The sequence below is a fragment of the Homo sapiens genome, chromosome 7 (assembly GCF_000001405.40).
Source record: "Homo sapiens chromosome 7, GRCh38.p14 Primary Assembly".
NCBI lineage: Eukaryota > Metazoa > Chordata > Mammalia > Primates > Hominidae > Homo > Homo sapiens.
Genome location: NC_000007.14, coordinates 51267486 through 51285816, shown reverse-complemented (window position 1 = coordinate 51285816; position 18331 = coordinate 51267486). Strand labels below are relative to the sequence as shown.

The following is an 18331-nucleotide window of genomic DNA, read 5'->3' as shown; positions in this document are numbered from 1 at the left end:
TTCCTCCAACATTCTTATTTTTCAAAATTAGTTTGGCTCTTCTCATTTCTTTGCCTTTCCATATAAATTTTCAGATCAGTTTGTCTATGTCTACAAAAACAGCCATGCTGAGAATTTGAAATTTTGTTAAATCTGTAAATCAATTTGAGTCGTCTGACCAATGAATATATGTCTCTCCATTTTTCTAGGTTTTCTTTGATTTCATTAACCAGTGTTTTGTAGTTCTCAGCATACAATCTTACCCATGTCAACTAGACTTATACCTAAATACTTTACTTTTTTGGTAGATGTTTGTAAATGGCATTTTAAAATTTTAATTCCTAATTATGGATTGTTAGTATAGAAATATACTTGATTTTTGTGTGTTGACTTTGTATTCCATGAGCTTGCTTTAAACTCTATCAATTCTGTGAGGATTTTTGCTTTTTTTTTTTTTCTTTGCAGATTCCTTGGGATTTGCTATGTATGTCTAGAAAAAAGGTGTGGTTTATTTCTCTCTGTCCAAATTTGATGCCTTTTATTTGTTTTTCTCTTCTTATTGTACAGTGTAGATTTCCAGTAAGAAGTTGAATAGCTGGGCACGGTGGCTTATGCCTGTAATCCCAGCACTTTAGGAGGCTGAGGCGGGTGGATCACGAGGTCAGGAGTTCAAGACCAGCCTGGCCAAGATGTTGAAACCCTGTCTGTACTAAAAATACAAAAATTAGCCAGGTGTGCTGGCACGCTCCTGTTTTCCCAGCTACTTAGGAGTCTGAGGCAGAGATTTGCTTAAAACCAGGAGGTAGAGGTTGCAGTGAGCCAAGATTGTGCCACTGCACTCTAGCCTGGGTGACAGACCAAGACTCTGTCTCAAAAAAAAAAAAAAAAGTTGGATGGAAGTAGTGAGAATACACACTCTTACCTTGTTCCTGATCTTAGGGGAAAACATTCAGTCTTTCTTTGTGAAGCTTGATATTGGAGGTAGGTTTTTTTATACCTTTTTTTTTTTTTGAGACGGAGTCTTGCTTTGTTGCCCAGGCTGGAGTGCAGTGGTACGATCTTGGCTCACCACAACCTCTGCCTCCTGGGTTCAAGTGATTCTCCTGCCTCAGCCTCCTGAGTAGCTGGGAGTACAGATGCATGCCACCATGCCCAGCTAATTTTTGTATTTTTAGTAGTGATGGGGTTTCACTATGTTGGCCAGGCTGGTCTCGAACTCCTGACCTCATGATCCACCTGCCTCGGCCTCCCAAAGTGCTGGGATTACAGGCATGAGCCACCATGCCTGGCCTTATAGCTATAGTTTAATAGGCTTAGGAAGTTTTTTTTTTTTATTTCTAATTTACTGAGACTTGTTGATACTGAATTATATCAAATGCTTGTCTTTGCTTTGATTGATACACGCATGTGATTTTTCTTCTTTAAACTGTCAGTATGGTGAATTACATGAACTGATTTTCAAATATTGAACCAGCCTTGCATTCCTGAGATTAAACCTCCTTGATTGTAGTGTATTATTCTTTTTTCTTTTTTTTTTGAGACGGAGTCTTGCTCTGTTGCCCAGGCTGGAGTGCAGTGGCGCAATCTCTGCTCACTGCAAGCTCTGCCTCCCAGGTTCACACCATTCTCCTGCCTCAGCCTCCCGAGTAGCTGGGACTACAGGCACCCGCCACCATGCCTAGTGCTTTTTTTTTTTTTTTTTTTTTTTGTATTTTTGGTAGAGACGAGGTTTCACTCTGTTAGCCAGGATGGTCTCGATCTCCTGACTTTGTGATCCGCCCACCTTGGCCTCCCAAAGTGCTGGGATTACAGGCATGAGCCACCGTGCCCAGCCTATTCTTTTTATATATTGCTAGATTCTATTTTTTTGAGGAATTTTGCATCTGTATTCATGAGAGATATTTGTGTATAGTTTTCTTGTGATGTGTCTGTCTGATGTTATTGGTGTTTTTTCATTTTTTGTTTTTCATTTTAAATGCTTAGTAAAATTGGCCAGTGAAACCACCTGGGTCTAAAAATTTCTTTTTTCATAATGTTCTTAAGCTACAGATTTGGCCAGATGCGGTGGCTCACAACTATAATCCCAGCACTCTGGGAGGCCGAGGCAGGCGGATCATCTGAGGTCAGGTGTTTGAGATAAGCCTGACCAACATGGTGAAACCCCGTCTCTACTAAAAATACAAAAATTAGCTGGGCGTGGTGGTGCGCACATGTAATCCCAGCTACTCAGGAGGCTGAGGCAGGAGAATTGCTTGAACCCAGGAGGCACAGGCAGCAGTGAGCCAGGATCGCGCCCCTGCACTCCAGCCTGGGCAACAAGAGCGAAACTCCATCTCACAAAAAAACAAACAAACAAAAACTACAGATTCAAATTTTTAAATGGGTACATTTGAATTATCTATTTAATCTTTAATGAGTGTATGTTGGTAGTGATTTTTGAGAAATTGATCTGTGTCATTTAAAGTTGCTGAATTTATGTGTGTAGATATGTTCATAGCATTCCCTTATTATTCTTGTATTGTCTGTGGTCTCTGTAGTGATATCTTCTTTTTTATTCCTCATGTTAGTAATTAGTGTCTTCTCTCTTCTTTGTCATTCTTTTTATAGGTTTCTCAGATTTATTATAAAAAATCTTTTGTGGTCATTGTTTTCTATTGCCTTTTTTCTGTTTCAGCAATTTCCTTGTATATGATTTGGGTTTGTTTTGCTCTACTTTTTCAAATTTGATTTAAATGGAGGTTTAAATGATTAGTTTGAGAATTTTCCTCTCTTATATACGCAGTTAATGCTCTACATTTCCTTCTAAGCACTTCTTTATCATCATCCCACCAGTCATGATTTTTAAAAGCTGTATGCTCAAGTCCCTCAGAGTTCTCTTTCTCCATGCATTCTGTAGTCATATATGATTACATTTCCAAGTGTTTATAGATTTTATGGTTATCTTTGTTACTGATTTCCGGTCTAATTTCAGTATGGTTAGAGAACATACTTTTGTATGCCTTGTAATTTTTTTTTTTTATATTTGGTAAGGTTTGTTTTATGTCCCAGGAGATTGTCTATCTTGGTTAGTGTTCTATTTGCTGTTGAAAACAATGTATTTTCTGGTACAGTTGGGTAGAATTCTAGTAATGTCAATTAAATCAAGTTGGTTGATTGTATTTGTGAGTTCTTCTATATTCCTGTTGATTTTCTGTGTATGAGTTGTATTGATTTGTAAGAGAGTATTGTCTCAAAAGTTAATTGTGGTTTTATCTATTTCATTGTTGTTGTATCTATTTCAAAGCTTCATTGTCAGGTGTATTGAAGTTTAGGATTGTTATATCTTCTTGTTGAATTGACTCTTTTATGTAATGTCTCTCTTTATCCCTGGTAATTTTCTTTGATTTGTCTGATGTCTGTACTTTGATATTAATATAACCATCCCAGCTTTCTTTTGAGTAATATTTGTAGGTGTGGTTTTTCATCAGTTTACCTCTAACCACCTACATAATCATATTTAAAGTGAGTTTTTTGAAGATAGCATGTAGTTAAATAATATCTGTCTTTTAGTTGGATTGTTTAGACCATTTACATTAAATAATTATATTAAACTATTACGTTACATCAAATCATTTGCATAAATGAAGGATAATGGCCTATCATCTCTACTGATATTTTTGGATTTAGATCAACCATTTAACTATTTTTTTCTTTGTTGCCTGACTTGCATTCTTGTTTCTTCTTTCCAATCTTTGAGTTGTTTGAGATTTTTTAGTATCTTATTTTAATGTATCTACTGGGATTTTTAGTATATCCCTTTGTTTATTTTCGTGGGTTTTCTAGGGATTAAAATAATCAAACTTCTCACAGTCTCCTTAGAATCAGTATTTTACCATTTATGTGGAGTATAACTTACTATTACATAGGTATCCTTCATGGTTATGTGTTACATCTACATTTTAAAGAACTCAAAAAAGAAGAATCATGTATTGGCCTAGATGTTTAACATGTCTGTTCCTCCTCATGTTCCAAGTTTTCTTTCCATACTATTTCTATTCTATCTGAAGAACTTACTTTAACAATTATTCTAGAACAGGCCTGCTGGCAGTGAATTCTCTTTGCCTTCATTTGAGAATATCTTTGTTTCACTGTCATACTTGAAGGATATATTTACTGGATATAGTAACATGGTTTACAGTTTTTTTTTTTTTTATCTCAGTACTTTAAAAGTTGTTTCGACTTCATTCTAGCCATTGTAGTTTCTGTAGTCATTCAGATTATTTCCATTTAAGAAATGTCACTTTGTTTTGGTGATTCTCAAGGTTTTTTCCGTGTTTTTAGTTTTAAGCACTTTGATAATGATGTCCCAGAGTGTGGGCTTTTTTTGTACTCATCCTGTATAGGGTTTGCTGAACTACTTGAATCTGTTTTCTTTCAGGAAGTTTTGTGAAATTTGAAAAGTTTTCTGTTAATTTGTGAAATATGTTTTGTGTACCACATTATTTTTCCTTTCTTTCTAGGATCCCATTGACATGAAAATTAGACCTGTTGGTATTGCCCCATAGGTCCCTATGCCTGTTCATTTTTACAGTCCTTCCTCTTTATGTTGTTCAGATTAGATGATTTCTGTTGACCTGTATGCAAAGTCAGTGAGTCTGCTGTTGAGCCCATTCCTTGAGTTTTTCATTTTAGTTATTGTATTTTCAAATCTAAAATTTTCTTTTGTTTCTTCGTTATATCTTCTATTTCTTTGCCAAGACTTACTAAGTTTTCATTCATTTCAAGCGTTCTTGCCCTTAACTTAGAGCATTTTTATAACCTGTATTATTTCCTAGTCATTTTGTAAACCTCTATTATTTCCTAGACATTTTGACTATTTCATTATGGTACTCTGGCTCTTATTTAAAGCTTATGGAGAATGTTGACATATATAATTTTTAAATCTGGCAATTGACCTAGTTGGGTTCGTGTTTAAATTTCTGCTGGGCCCTTTGTGCTTGTCATTTCAATGGTAGTTAAGTTTGAAAGTCTGTACAGTGCTCTTCAGATCTTCTCATGTTTCTGCTACCGGTGGCCAGTCTGGGAACTTGGGTGGTGGTCTGTTCAGTTCTTAAAGCCACCCAGGACCAGATCCATACGTGTGCAGTTTGGGGACGCACCCAGGAGTTCACAAATGACTTTATGTTGTTCCTCCCTCTCCAAAGTGTCTCAGTGCTTTCTACTTCCCTAGACCTTTCCTTTTTGTGCTCCAGCCAGAAAACTAGGCTTTATTTACCCTGCTTTGCTGCACATATCCTGTGACTGCACCTACAGACGGGGCAAAGCAGCAGCAGAAAAGAGAAAGGAGAAAAAAGCAGTGGGGTTTACTCCATCCTCTTGGGACCACAGCTCCTCTGATCCGAGAGAAGAGTTTTCCTCTTTTTGTGTTTGAAGCTTTGCGAGTCCCTGTGCTGCCACTGTTGCTGTCACCCACTCTGCCACCTCAGGACTGCTTGTGGACTGGGGCTCATAGGAGCAGGGAGATGAGCATAATAGAGAATTCTCCCTCCTCATTAAACATTAGGGGACCCATTCCCTTCTCTTTAGCCCAGCACTAGAAGGTTTCTCTTGTAGCTCTCTCTGTCTAAGCCATTGCCCACTGCCCAGGTTTCAGGCTGCATTGAATCCAGGATTGGGAAAAAAAAAATGTTAAACTGAGTGCTGTTTTCGTGGTACTTCGAATTCTGGTCTCTAATCCCAACTTCTCAGAGTCATCAAATAGCTGTTCCTTGCATTCTGGCCAGATTTTTTTTGCTGCTCTATGTGGAGGAGAGAGGGCACAATGTGTTATTCCATCTAAATGATTTTTCTTATAAAGTGCATGTTCCTGTTATATTCAGGCAATGGAATATTATTTAATGCTAAAAAGAAATGAGCCATCAAGCCATAGAAAGACATGGAAAAACCTTAAATACATGTTACCAAGTGAAAGAAGCCAATCTGAAAAGGCCACATGCTGTATGATTCCAACTCTGTGACATTCTGGAAAAGGCAAGATAAGATCAGTGTTTGCTGTTGCCAGGGGTCAGGAGGGGGAAAGAGCAGGAACAGAGGATTTTTAGGGAAATGAAAATACTCTGTATGATACTATGATGATGAATACGTGTCATTGTACATTTGTCCTAACCCACAGAATGTGCGACACCACAGGTGAACCTTAATGTAGGTTGTGGACGCTGGGTGATAATAATGTGTCCACAGAGGTTCATCAGTGGCAACAGATGTTCCAGTCTGGTGGGGCGTGGGTTGTCGGGGAGGCTCTGCATGTGTAAGGTCAGAGGGAATACGGGCAATCTCTGCACCTCCCTCTCAACTTTGCTTTGAACTTAAAACTGCTAAAAGAAAAAAGTCTATTTTAGAAAAATGTGCCAGTTGATTTCATATTAAAATAATTGGAGAACCTGGTGAATATAGTTAAAAATTTCAGGTGATTTATTTAATAACAAAGAGGAAACAGAATTATTAAAGAAAGTATAATGCACGTTGGAAGTACATGGAGTAAATGCCACCCATTCCCTTTAGTCTTTAGTAGTTAGTCATGGCTCTCTTAATTAGCTTCTTCCATACATTTTTGGGATTATATCCCTTATGACCAGGGATTTAGTGTAGCTACTTTGAAAGATGCTGAAACTTCATGATGAATTTAAAATGTGTGCCACGCCTTTCCCATACATTTGTCAGGCAGCCTCTCTGTGTATCACTGGGTTTTTAGAAAGCCAAGCCATAGGATTATTCACTGTCAGTGCAGGACTAGTACACAGGGCAGGCCCTGATGGTAATTTGAGTATGACAACAGCTGTATCACTCCTTACAGGACTGCAAGTGTCTTAGGAGAAAAGCATTTCCCCGGCCACCTGCCGCCTGCTGCGTGGGTGCTGTGATTAGTCACAATGTGCATTGTGCTGGGTGTGTTTTGTAGTTTTGTTGTTCCTGTAATTGACAGTTATCTCCAAACTGAAATCGTCTGGAAAAGCAGATGCTACACGTTGGGGGATTTTAATTTTCCTGTTCTCTAGATGATTGGTGTCATTTTCATACTGTAAAAAAGTGTGCTGTTATTTTTGCTTTTGGTAGAAGGGCACATGGTGGGGCTGGTCTATCACTGCCTGGATTTGGAGGCTTGAGTCAAGAACCTGTCTAGGCCAGGTGCCGTGGCTCACGCCTGTAATCCCAGCACTTTGGGAGGCTGAGGTGGGTAGATCACCTGAGGTCAGGAGTTCGAGACCAGCCTGGCCAACATGGTGAAACCCCGACTCTAATAAAAATACAAAATTAGCTGGGCGTGGTGGCACACGCCTGTAATCCCAGCTACTTGGGAGGATGAGGCAGGAGAATTACTTAGAACATGGGAGGCAGAGGTTGCAGTGAGCCGAGATCGCGCCATTGCACTCCAGCCTGGCGACAGAGTGAGACTGTGTCTCAAAAAAAAAAAAAAAAAAAGATCCTGTCTAAATATAGCATGCTTGTCTCCCCAGGCAGCTGGGAGGAGGGGCCTGCATGATCATAGATGAGGGTGCCTTGTCCACCTGGCTCTGGGCTCTCACTGAGCATGCTCTTCCTTGGGACGGCTTCTCAATTCAGCTAATCTCCAGATTAGATTCACCCTGTTTGGTGTGCATGTGTGTGGGAGTCTCTGTGAATGTGGAGCTTCTAAATTTATTTATCATTTGATACGGGTATTGCGTTCTAGTATTTGCAGAGCTGGCACTCAAGGCTGGCCACTATGTTTTTAGTTCAGAGATATGATTCAGAGAGATGATTGTAGTTGAGACGTCCCTAGGGGCCCGCTGTTGATTTGTTGTGTCTCTCTGCTGTACTTCACGCAGGCACAGAGAAGAGATCAGTAAATAACGAAATGAATCTGCCCTATGATGTTGACAGATATGTCCTCTCTTACTTGCTAGTTCCTCAGAGGCAGCTTGGGAATATTGTTGGGTGGTCAGAAAGTATTTAGAGAGTCTGGGCTACAAGTGACATGACTTGTCTGTCCATCTGCTGTGCCTCTTGAGTGTTCTTACCTGGCTCTGTGCCCCCTGCTCTCACAATGCCCTGCCGTGCTGGATCCCTGTAGCAACACTGTAGGGGCGGCATTGTTACCACCTCCATTTGGCAGTGTAGAAACTACAATGGGCAGAGTATTCCACCCTTGTATCTCTCTAGCAGCCCGTCCATCCCTTCCTCTAGCCCGCTGTCCAACTTGCTATTTGTTAGTGTCTAATATACACACCATGAATTAGCCCAAAGTCGGGTGGGCGGGATGAGGGCACCGACTCTTGCTGCGTGTGAGCTGAAGTATCAGAGAGAGATTACCACTGTGTGCTCAACAGTCCTGTCGTCAATTTTTAAAGATATATTTTTTAACTTTTTATTTTGGAATAACAAAGAATTCCCACGTCGTCTTCAGCTAGATGCCACAGATGTTAACAGGTGTGTTTGCTCTATTCTCTCTCTCCTTCCCTCACAAGCACATGTGTGTATTTACACTTCTGCATGCACACATGCACACACACAGATGCACACACATACCTTCTCTCTTAGAGCAAGGCACACATATTCATGAACTCACCCTCAGGCTTCCGTGAGAGCAGACCTAGCCCATTTTAACTTAGTCGGTCATTGGCTTGGGTCCCTGCGCATGTGTGGCCGTCATGGAAACAGGGAAGGCCTTGTTCTGTGCCTTGGCAATGAGCATCCCTGGCCTGGCTCTGGGAAGGATGACTGGCCTGTGATCCTTTCCTCCAGGTGCTGCTTTGGTAGAGGTTGATGATGGGGCCTCAGTGGAGCTGGTGTGAGGACAGGAGGGCTGTGTCATTGTCTTCTGGCCCTCACCATCTGTGTGTTCGCTGCTCCCAGATGCATCTCCTTTTCTGTGGTGCCCTCTCCTACATTTCACCTCTTAGCTGGTCAAATCTTATGAGCCTCAGCTGACTCCTCTCCCTTGTATGGTAAAAGCCACCTCTGAACTCTTCCCTTTCTGGGCCCAGGCACCCTTAAGGGCCAGCCAACACCAGCGTCCAGCTTTCCAGAATGCCCTTGGGTTTTCCTCCCATCTCCTGGAGGTGTCTTCCTTCTTACCTGCCTGCTCACTCTGCAAGGCCTGTTCACATCTCCCCTTTGCCCCACACAGCTGCAGCTCCCAGCCACCCCAGCTCAGCCCTGGCAGTGTTTACTGCGGGCAGTGGGTTGTGTCTGTGTCTCCTTTCATCCCCCACACCTTGTGCAGTCCCTGGCGGGTTGGAGGTGTTCCTTAAAGCTTGTGGAAGGTTTGAACGATAAATGACAAGGACTGGCATTATCAAGAGGGGAAGGAAAAGCCTGAAAAGCAAGAAAGCCCACAGTGGATAGGGCTTGTGGCAGGCAAGGCCACCTGTGTGCAGTCCCTGGGTATGGCCCGTCCCCGGCCGGAGGAGCTTCCACAGGGTGACTCCTTTCATAGAAGCTCAGGTTCCATTCGCCTTTCCCAGAAGGAACCCCAGGACAGGGCTCCCAGGAAGCCACAGCAGGACCAACTTACATAGCTCTTGGTGCTGCTGCCTTTTACTGCCACGACAGTCCCCAGCCTCCCTGAAACAGTTACTCATGGATTAAGAAATGTCTGAGAACAGCTTCAAAATGTGCTGTGCATGAGTGCTGTCACCCAGCCCATATCTGTGAATGCCAATTAAAATGGGCTCCTTAGAATTCCTGTGTTATTGTAAACAGAAGAAGTTGCATGGTCCCAGAGCCTCAGTGCACATTTTCATTTATGAGCTTGATATTTGTTTCTTCAAACAATTCTTCCCCCAATGTTTATCATTTAGAAAAGCCAAAGGGCTTTTGTAGGAAAAAGGATGAGGCTCATTTCCATTGAAGAGTAAATATAAGGAAGATAAGGGCTTCTTTATTAAAACAGACAACCTCACAAAACCCCGGCAGAGCAGGTCAGAGGAAAAGAAAACAAGCAGGGGAGAGAGAGGCCTACAGCCCCTAATCAGGCTGTGGAAACATTCTCATCAATCAGCATGGAGACAGGGGCCTTGATTTTCCACTGTGAGGGGAAGGTGGAATCGCCAGCCTTCTGGGCTCTGTGTTTTCACCGTTGTTGGGACAGGCCTCCTGGGTGGGCTGCGTGCGGAGCTCACAAGAGCAGTCACGGCTGGTGGTGGCTGGTGGCGGCTGGTGGTGGTTGGTGGCGGCTGGTGGTGGCTGGTGGCAGCTGATGCCAGTGGCGGTGGTGGTGGTGGCAGGTGGAGCTGGAGTGCACTGTTGCTGAGGGTGCCTTGAGAGAGACCCAGGGGAGAATTCCCCCCAGACCTGCTCTGCATGGGCTGCGGTGACCACATGTGGCCGTGGAGCTGGGATCTCAGAACAGCCAGGCCCTGTCAGACAGAACTGGAGGCAGTGGTTCCCCAGCAATCAAAAACAAATCCTCGTTGTAAAAAGGGAGTACTGAACCTTGACATAGAACTTTCTTCAATTTCGCACAGCATTACTGGCAGAGGGAAAAAACCAGGAGGATGGAGGGGACTTGTGCCTCAAAATTTGGATACAAATCAGCCTTGTTCTTGCCTCTCCCTCAGGTCCTTTGCAGGAGGGCAGCCTGGACACTGTGCAACTGTCCCCTCCACAGCCAGCCCTTGGGCCTCTCCCCTCCAGCCCGCAGGGGTGACCCCTCTCTCTCATGTGCAGAGCAGAACAAACATGGAGCGGCTCCACGTGCGTCCCTCACCTGTCCTGAGCCTCTCCCGTCCTCTTCAGCCCTGTCTTTGTTGCTTCTCACTGCTCTGTCTCCCTGGAAGATGGAGGTTCAGGCAGCAAAGAGTTGAATTGCACGGCCAGATGATTTGTATTTTAATTTGTTAATATCGGTGTTTCCCACTTCAGACAAAGCCATGTGCGTACATATGCAGACCTAAAAATCAAATCAAATGATTGCTATCAGAGAATTCTTTTTACTGAAAGTATCTCAGAAAACCCTGAAAGTATCTCAGATTCCCAAATGCTGATCTTCTATCTTATATTTTAAAACATGACTGGTTTACAAAAATTAATACTTACACTGTTGTTTTCTAGAATACGTCTGTTGTACAAGGCATGGCATCCCTGAACTTGGAGTTTTCATATGAAAGTCATTTATTGAATGAAAATCCTCCACTGCACAAATAGGAAAGGACATTTTGAGCCTACGCACAAAAGTGTGCTTAATGATGGGCTAGAGTATTTCAGCTGAGCTCCTGAGGCTCAGCCTTCCATAGTAAAGTCACTGCATCTGTGAAAAAGTGGTCTTCTCTGCCCAGCACCAGACATCCATTCTGTGGGGTACAATTCTTTCCTTCTTTCATGGATAATGAATGGTCAGCTTGGCTGGTTTCTTTGAAAGCAAAGACTAAGAAGTGGAATGCAGTCAGGAGCCTGTTGTGTTGATGAGACAAACAGATGAAGGGGAGCTCACCTAGAGCTGCCTCAGGACCATGCCCAGGAGGACACATTCAAGATTTTGGCGGTGATACAGTCAGCACTGGAGGACAAAGGACAGGGTGCTCTTCTCCTGCGAGCAGTGAGGGTCATGTGCAGTGTGTTTGGGAGGGAAGGTGTGTTTGGGAGGGAAGGCGTTGCAGCAAGGCTGGGTGTGAGTTTGAAGTGCTGTGTGTCTACCGTGTGGGGAGTGAAGCGGGAGGCGGCCCATGCGATGCACAGCTGGCAGCTGCAGGTCCTGTGCTGGGGAAGGGGAGCGAGGGCCTCACTTAAGGCATGGACTGGGGGGAACTGTGAGCATGGTGGTATTCGAGGCTACGATGTCCTGTGGTCTAAGGAGAGCATTACAGGGAAGGGAGGAGAGCCCAGAACAGATGACTGAAGAAGATCGCATTTGATGGGTGAGGGGGACCCAACTGCTACAGGGGGAGTTGGCGTCACCAGAGAAAACAGCACTGGGTACGTGAACTGTGGCGGTTCGATGACACTTCAAAATATAAACACCTAAAATAGGTTTTATGAGGCGTTGGCATTCCCAAAACACTGAAGTGTTTAAGTATTTTGGGAATTGTATTTAATTATTGAACAATTTAGGCAAGTTAGCTATTTTCAAATAGGTAAAATTAGTTTGTCTCTCTGGTAGAACTTGTCATTCATTTTTAGAATCTTGAGTTTTAAATGCCAGATAGATCCAGCTGCTATAAATATGCTGCAGATGTAGCTGTCCAGTCACTCAGACAGGCAAGAGCTGATGATTGAGGACTAATTTTCAGTCTAACGGCAGAAGCAGGTGTCACAAGGTAAGTCAGCTTCAAGGCTTCATTCCCTGATGTCAATGATGACTTCCTTAGGAATGTCACTGCAGATATGGGTTTGTTTTTGTTTTTTGGTAAATGAGGAATTTTAGATAGTGGTAGCTACTGTTCACCACACATAACCTTTGTAACAAGCTAGAATATACATTAAAAATTCACAAAGTATGCAGCTTTGTATTTTGAGATAACTTTCTTTTCTTTTTCTTTTTTTTTTTTTTTTTTTGAGATGGAGTCTTATTCTGTTGCCCAGGCTGGAGTGCAGTGGCACGATCTCAGCTCACTGCAACCTCTGCCTCCAGGTTCAAGCGATTCTCCTGCCTCAGCCTCCCAAGTAGCTGGGATTACAGGCATGTGCCACCATGCCCGGCTGATTTTTGTATTTTTAGTAGAGGTGGGGTTTCACCATGTTGGCCAGGCTGATCCTGAACTCCTGACCTCAAGTGATCCTCCTACCTTGGCCTCCCAAAGTGCTGGGATTATAGGCATGAGCCACTGCGCCTGGCTTTGAGGTAACTTTTCAATGCCCTATTATTTGACTTTTATTCCTTAAGAGAAGGATGTTTTTGTTGTTGTTGTTGTTGTTGTTGTTGTTGTTGTTGTTGGTATTGTGTTCCATAGATGAAAACGCAGACATAGAGAGGGGGAGAAATGACTGGACTTGTGTAGTATTAAGTTGTCTTTACCTGCAGATAAGAGCAGAATTGTGACCCTAGAATTGTGAATTACATGTCTTAGCCCAATGGCTTGTCTTGGGCTTTAATTTAGACATGGGGAGACTCCCAAAGTACAAGCTTTGGTGTGGAAATGCCAGAAAAACATCATTTGAAGAAATGCCTCAGGCCCTGTGTGTCCAATTTGTGCAACCCTTTGCCTCTTTGAGTGTTTTAGAGGTCCAAGCGCAATTTCACTGATATTTTCAGATCTAGATTGGAACTTGAAGAGCCATGGATTAGTCTCTTTCCTGAGTGTGCATGTTCCCAATATTCTGAATTTTCCTTTTTAAAGCTCCAAATTTAAATGATTTTTTTCTTGCGTCGCCCATGATGGAGTGATAAATAGGGAGATAAATACTGATGATTCTTCTAATTTTAACTATTTTGTAGTTCTGGCTTCCCTGGAGTGAGTATAATAGAGTAGTTGATGAGGATTGCCTCTTGGAATCGGACTGCCTGGGATGAAACATACACTATGAATTGTGAGACCTTGCGAAGTTATTAAAACCCAAGCTCAATGTTATAATCTGCAAAATGGGGATAAAATCTAGCCTACTGGAAAAAAATCATACCTTGAGTGGGGTGTACTTGTATGAAACAACAGGGAGCGGAGGGAACTGAAGCATGCAATAGTAGAAACCATTTATGTGCCCTGATTGGCACTGAAGATTGCTCACTTAGTTAAATGAGTGAGTTTAAAATGTTAAATGCTTAAAAAATATGCATTTACATGTATTGAGCAATCTTTTGATAGAGGGCCATGTCCAGAATTCATTGTTTCAGTTTGTTTGTTTATTTATTTATTTATATTGAGACAGTCTTGCTCTGTCACCCAGACTGGAGTGCAGTGATACGATCTTGGCTCACTGTAGCCTCTGTCTCCTGGGTTCAAGCGATTCTCCTGCCTCAGCCTCCCGAGTAGCTGGGATTACAGGCACACGCCACCATGCCCATAATTTTTGTATTTTTCATAGATATGGGGTTTCACCATGTTGGCCAAACTGGTCTTAGAACTCCTGACCTCAAGTGATCCTCCTGCCTCGGTCTTCCAAAGTGTTGGGATTACAGGTGTGAGCCACTGTGTCCGACTGGTTTCAGTTTCTTTAAAGCCAGCTAAGAGCATGCAAATAATTGTGATTAAAATCTGAGTGCAGAATCCTGAAACTGATGAGTTTTTTCCCTCCTCAGTCTTTTTCAGTTTCCTCTCCATCACCTAAGTAAACTTTTATCGATTTACTCATTTTATAAAGCAGCTCACCTTTGTTTTTCTTAAATATTTAATGTAGGTTTCATGAGACTCATGCTACGCTTTCTCTGTGCACCCATTACCTTCTGTAAAATTAACTAGTGGGATTAAAGCAGTTAACCGTGACTGACGTAAGTAGTTGCCTCCTGGTGAGAATATCCCCAAACTGGTGAGAACAGAAGTGTTGGGGCTTACTAAGGAGTAGCCCAGCAGCTCCAAGGACCAGCCAGTGGGTTTACAAAAAGCAATGAGGAAAGTGTGGAATGAAGTGGTGCATTGAGCAGGAGCCAGTCTAGGTTTAGGTTCAGGAGAGCATGGTGTGCCCTGCAAGCTTTCCTGCTTTATCCTGTGGGTCAGGAATCAGCAGATATTTGCAGCTTTGTGGCCCTGTGTTTCTGGTGACGACGCAACCCTGCCATTATATGGAGAAAGCAGCCATGGACAGGTGACACGCACTGAGGCTGGTGAAACAATACACAGACTCCCCAGCGTGGAGATACACCAGGCCTGGCGGCCTGTCCCAAGCATTCCTGGGAGTAGCAGGGCCTGTGCAGACCCTAAAGGATGTAGAGGATTTAGGTTGATGCAGAGGAGGAAGACTGGCTTGTACACACTCCTTAGCTCATGACCCCCCTACTGTCTGTATAGGAATAATTAAATTGAACAAAAATAAGTTAATATGTCAGTACTATGTACCAGGAACAAACATACATACTTGCAAATTTCTAAAATCTGATTTCTTGTTTTTTTTTGGTTTTGATTTTTTTTTAAGTCGAATAATAAAATGTATTTTAGGCACATAGTAATTATTGAGCAAATTGCCATCAAGTCAATTTTGAAAAAAAGACCTTTGGGTCTTTCAGAATTCTTTTTGCATAACTTTAGTGTCCGTATTTATTATTTCTCCTTTTAGCACCTCTGTTTTCTCTAGAAATATTCTGCCTTTAAAGTCCAGTCTCAAGGTAGCATCTGATGATGGTGATTAAATTTATGTTGTCTCTCCCAGGAATATTTGTATTTGCATTATCTGTTTATCCAGTGAAAAAACATTGTGTCTTTAAAAAATTATTTAAGTGTAAGGAAGCCGGATGTTTTTGTCTTCTGCCAAAATTCACCCTATGTTCCCTTACCCTCTCTTCCCCACGAGGCTCCTGAGAACAGTGCCTGGCACGTAGTGGGCACATCATAGATATGTGAATGAATGAGCATATTGAGGAAATTCAGGACTCTAACCAAGAATTTGCATCTTTGGAGGAGATCTTGTTTTGAAATCTTTCTTGAACGGAACTACCACTATTCAGCACCTCAGAGCCAGTCTTGGCTCTGAGTTTTGCTATATTTGGGCCGTATAAAGAAATCTTTCTAGGGTAAACATCTTCTATTTCCCTCTTAAAAGGGTGCATTTTATTTCGCTCCAGCCAAGCCCTGTGTGCTCAGACAGGTGTCCAGATTCAGCTCCTGTCACAGGTTATGCCTGGCAAAAGTGCTCATGCAACAACACAGGTGCTTTAGAACCTGAGTCCATTTCAGGGCATATAAATAGGCCGCAGCTGAAAACATGTCCGTTGGGAACTTTTCAGAGCCTCTGTATTTTCTTAACTTGCTGACTTGATGAAGTTCAGCTAGAGGGAAGGAGAAGCTGTGCACAGGTGGGGGTGTTATTCCCTGTGTCAGTATGGCCGCCAGCAGGCTCAGGATTTTCTTTGGTGCTTTCTCCTGCCACGTCCTCAGTCTGGAGACAGAGCACCTCTTGTCTCTTGACCAGGGTTTCTTGGATGGGGAGCATTGGTGTAACTGTGAACATCAATTTTCTAATTGAGGCTGAGAAAACTAATAGAAAGGGTCTATAAAGAACCTCTAGAAAAGCAGTTTCCCTTTCCTCACTCTGGCCTTCATAAAATACAGGGTCGTTATGGTGAAACCAAGTGGCTGTGGCATTTGCTGTCCTCTGGTTTAAGCTGAGTGTATCTTGTGTGTTTACCTGGAAGCAGCCACGGGCAAGGAGAGCAGTGGCCGGAGCAGGGGCAGGGCTGTGACATGGAGCCCACGCTCCTGAGCACACCTCTGCCCCCCACGTCCTGCCGATGCACCACCCAGACCTGCCTAGTGCCCGACTCTGGAGGTGAGGGACATTGCGTGGCAGTTGCGTCTGGACCCTGTGCCACTTACCAGCAGCACGGCATGACAAGTGCTGGCCTCCCATCTCCTTCTTACCTGGGTCACTGATGCATGATGTGACTTAGGACCCCACTGCTGTACTGTTTTCTGTCCCCTGTGTGGATGCATCCTGGCTTATTCAGCCAGGCCCCTAAAGGAAAAATGAGCCACTTCTGCCCTCCCATTGTGAGGAAAAGATCCCCAACACATGGGCTTTTGTACCCGTCCTTCCTTCCCTGCAGTTTTGATCCAGCAGTTCTGAGGCTTGGTGGGGGGCTGCAATTTGGACACAGAAGCACTCCCCATCCCAGGAGTGCTTGGGGACACAGCAGCTATACAGAGCCTGCTGCAGCGGGTGGCTGGGTGCTGGCGCCTTCTGGCTGGCCTCCCTCCATCAACCTCGCTTCCCTGGGGTGCACTCCCTGCTGAAGGGCTGGCACAACTGCTCCAGCTCCAGCTGTGTCTTCTGGGAAGCCTGAATTTTTTTTTTTTTTTTTTTTTTATTGAGACGGGGTCTCACTCTGTCACCCAGGCTGGAGTGCAATGGCGCGATCTTGGCTCACCACAACCTCCACCTCCTGAGTTCGAGCGATTCTCCTGCCTCAGCCTCCTGAGTAGCTGGGACTACAGGAACCTGCCACCATGCCTGGCTAATTTTTGTATTTTTAGTAGAAGCGGGGTTTCACCATATTGGCCAGGCTGGTCTCGAACTCCCGACCTTGTGATCCACCTACCTTGGCCTCCCAAAATGCTGGGGTTATGGGCATGAGCCACCGTGCCCAGCTGGGGAGCCTGATAAAGACACCTGTGTTCTTATTTCCACATCTGCAAAAGGGAATTACTCTGTGATCCACCTGCTTCACAGGGCTGTGAAGATCACATCCCTTAAACATACCTAACGCTGCCTTGCACAGAGTGAATGCTTAGTAACTCTTCTTCTCAGCGTTCATCTGCGTTGCAGGAAGGGTGGTAGGAAAGACTTTTTGAGGAGGAATTAAGTGTCCAGTGGGTGGAAGTGTCTAGTGGGTGGATGGTGAGGCTGTTAGTGAAGGAGCTTGAGGGTCCAGAGGGCAGAGCTTTGGCAGAGGTGATTTTTCCCACAGTGGAGGGTTACCATGGTGCAGGGTGCATTGATTGCATTTTCCTTTTAGACAAATTACTGGGAATAGTGATCATGCTCTCTTCTAGTCCTGGATCTATTGTAACACTCATTCATAATAAAATTCCTTGTTACATATTTGCCTTCCTGGAGTGCTGAGGAAGAGATTTCTTTATTGAGAGTGGGCGAGAACAGTGCCCCAGACGGCACGTGGAACTGAGGACACCCGCAGCGGACACAGCGCCTGCAGGGCAGGAGGGAGGAAGGCTGTCCAGTCCTCATCTCTACCACCAATACCAGATACCAGGGCAGGGATCTTCCACTTGATAAAGTAATAGAGCCGTGGTCTCAAAAGTGGAGGTACAGGCCCCCGGGTGTGCTTCGTGATCCATTTGGGATAAGGAGGAAGTGAATAAATTTGGGAAGAGAATATTTGTTGTTTCTTTCCAAAGTTCTTTTTTTGGCCGGGTGTGGTGGCTCACACCTGTAATCCCAGCACTTTGGGAGGCTGAGGCAGGCGGATCACTTGTGGTCAGGAATTTGAGACCAGCCTGGGCAACATGGTGAAACCCCGCCTCTACTAAAAATACAAAACTTAGCTGGGCATGGTGGCAGGTGCCTGTAATCCCAGCTTCTTGGAGGCTGAGGCACGAGAATTGCTTGAAACTGGGAGGCAGAGGCTGCAGTGAGCTGAGATTGCGCTACTGTACTCCAGCCTGGGTGACAGAGAGCAACCCTGTCTCAAAAACAACAACAACAAAAGTTCTTTTTTTGTGTGTAATTTCTGTAATGTTCTCAATATACTAGTAACATGTATAATATACTCTCAATATACTAGTAATATATATAT

General features: G+C 43.7%; 1 protein-coding gene across 22 annotated transcripts in view, besides 3 other annotated features; it reads left to right on the top strand.

Moving 5' to 3' along the window:
- The window catches only part of COBL (cordon-bleu WH2 repeat protein), a 300598-nt gene that overhangs the window by 30993 nt on the left and 251274 nt on the right, over nucleotides 1-18331 (top strand). The window lies entirely within an intron of this gene.
- Nucleotides 9716-10712: an enhancer, noted in NCBI's record as "H3K4me1 hESC enhancer chr7:51342802-51343798 (GRCh37/hg19 assembly coordinates)". NCBI's record gives its function as "activates a minimal SCP1, AML or CMV promoter by ChIP-STARR-seq in naive H9 embryonic stem cells {active_cell/tissue: H9 hESC(naive)}" and the evidence as "EXISTENCE:reporter gene assay evidence [ECO:0000049][PMID:30033119]".
- Nucleotides 11148-11647: an enhancer, noted in NCBI's record as "H3K4me1 hESC enhancer chr7:51341867-51342366 (GRCh37/hg19 assembly coordinates)". NCBI's record gives its function as "activates a minimal SCP1, AML or CMV promoter by ChIP-STARR-seq in primed H9 embryonic stem cells {active_cell/tissue: H9 hESC(primed)}" and the evidence as "EXISTENCE:reporter gene assay evidence [ECO:0000049][PMID:30033119]".
- Nucleotides 11648-12149: an enhancer, noted in NCBI's record as "H3K4me1 hESC enhancer chr7:51341365-51341866 (GRCh37/hg19 assembly coordinates)". NCBI's record gives its function as "activates a minimal SCP1, AML or CMV promoter by ChIP-STARR-seq in primed H9 embryonic stem cells {active_cell/tissue: H9 hESC(primed)}" and the evidence as "EXISTENCE:reporter gene assay evidence [ECO:0000049][PMID:30033119]".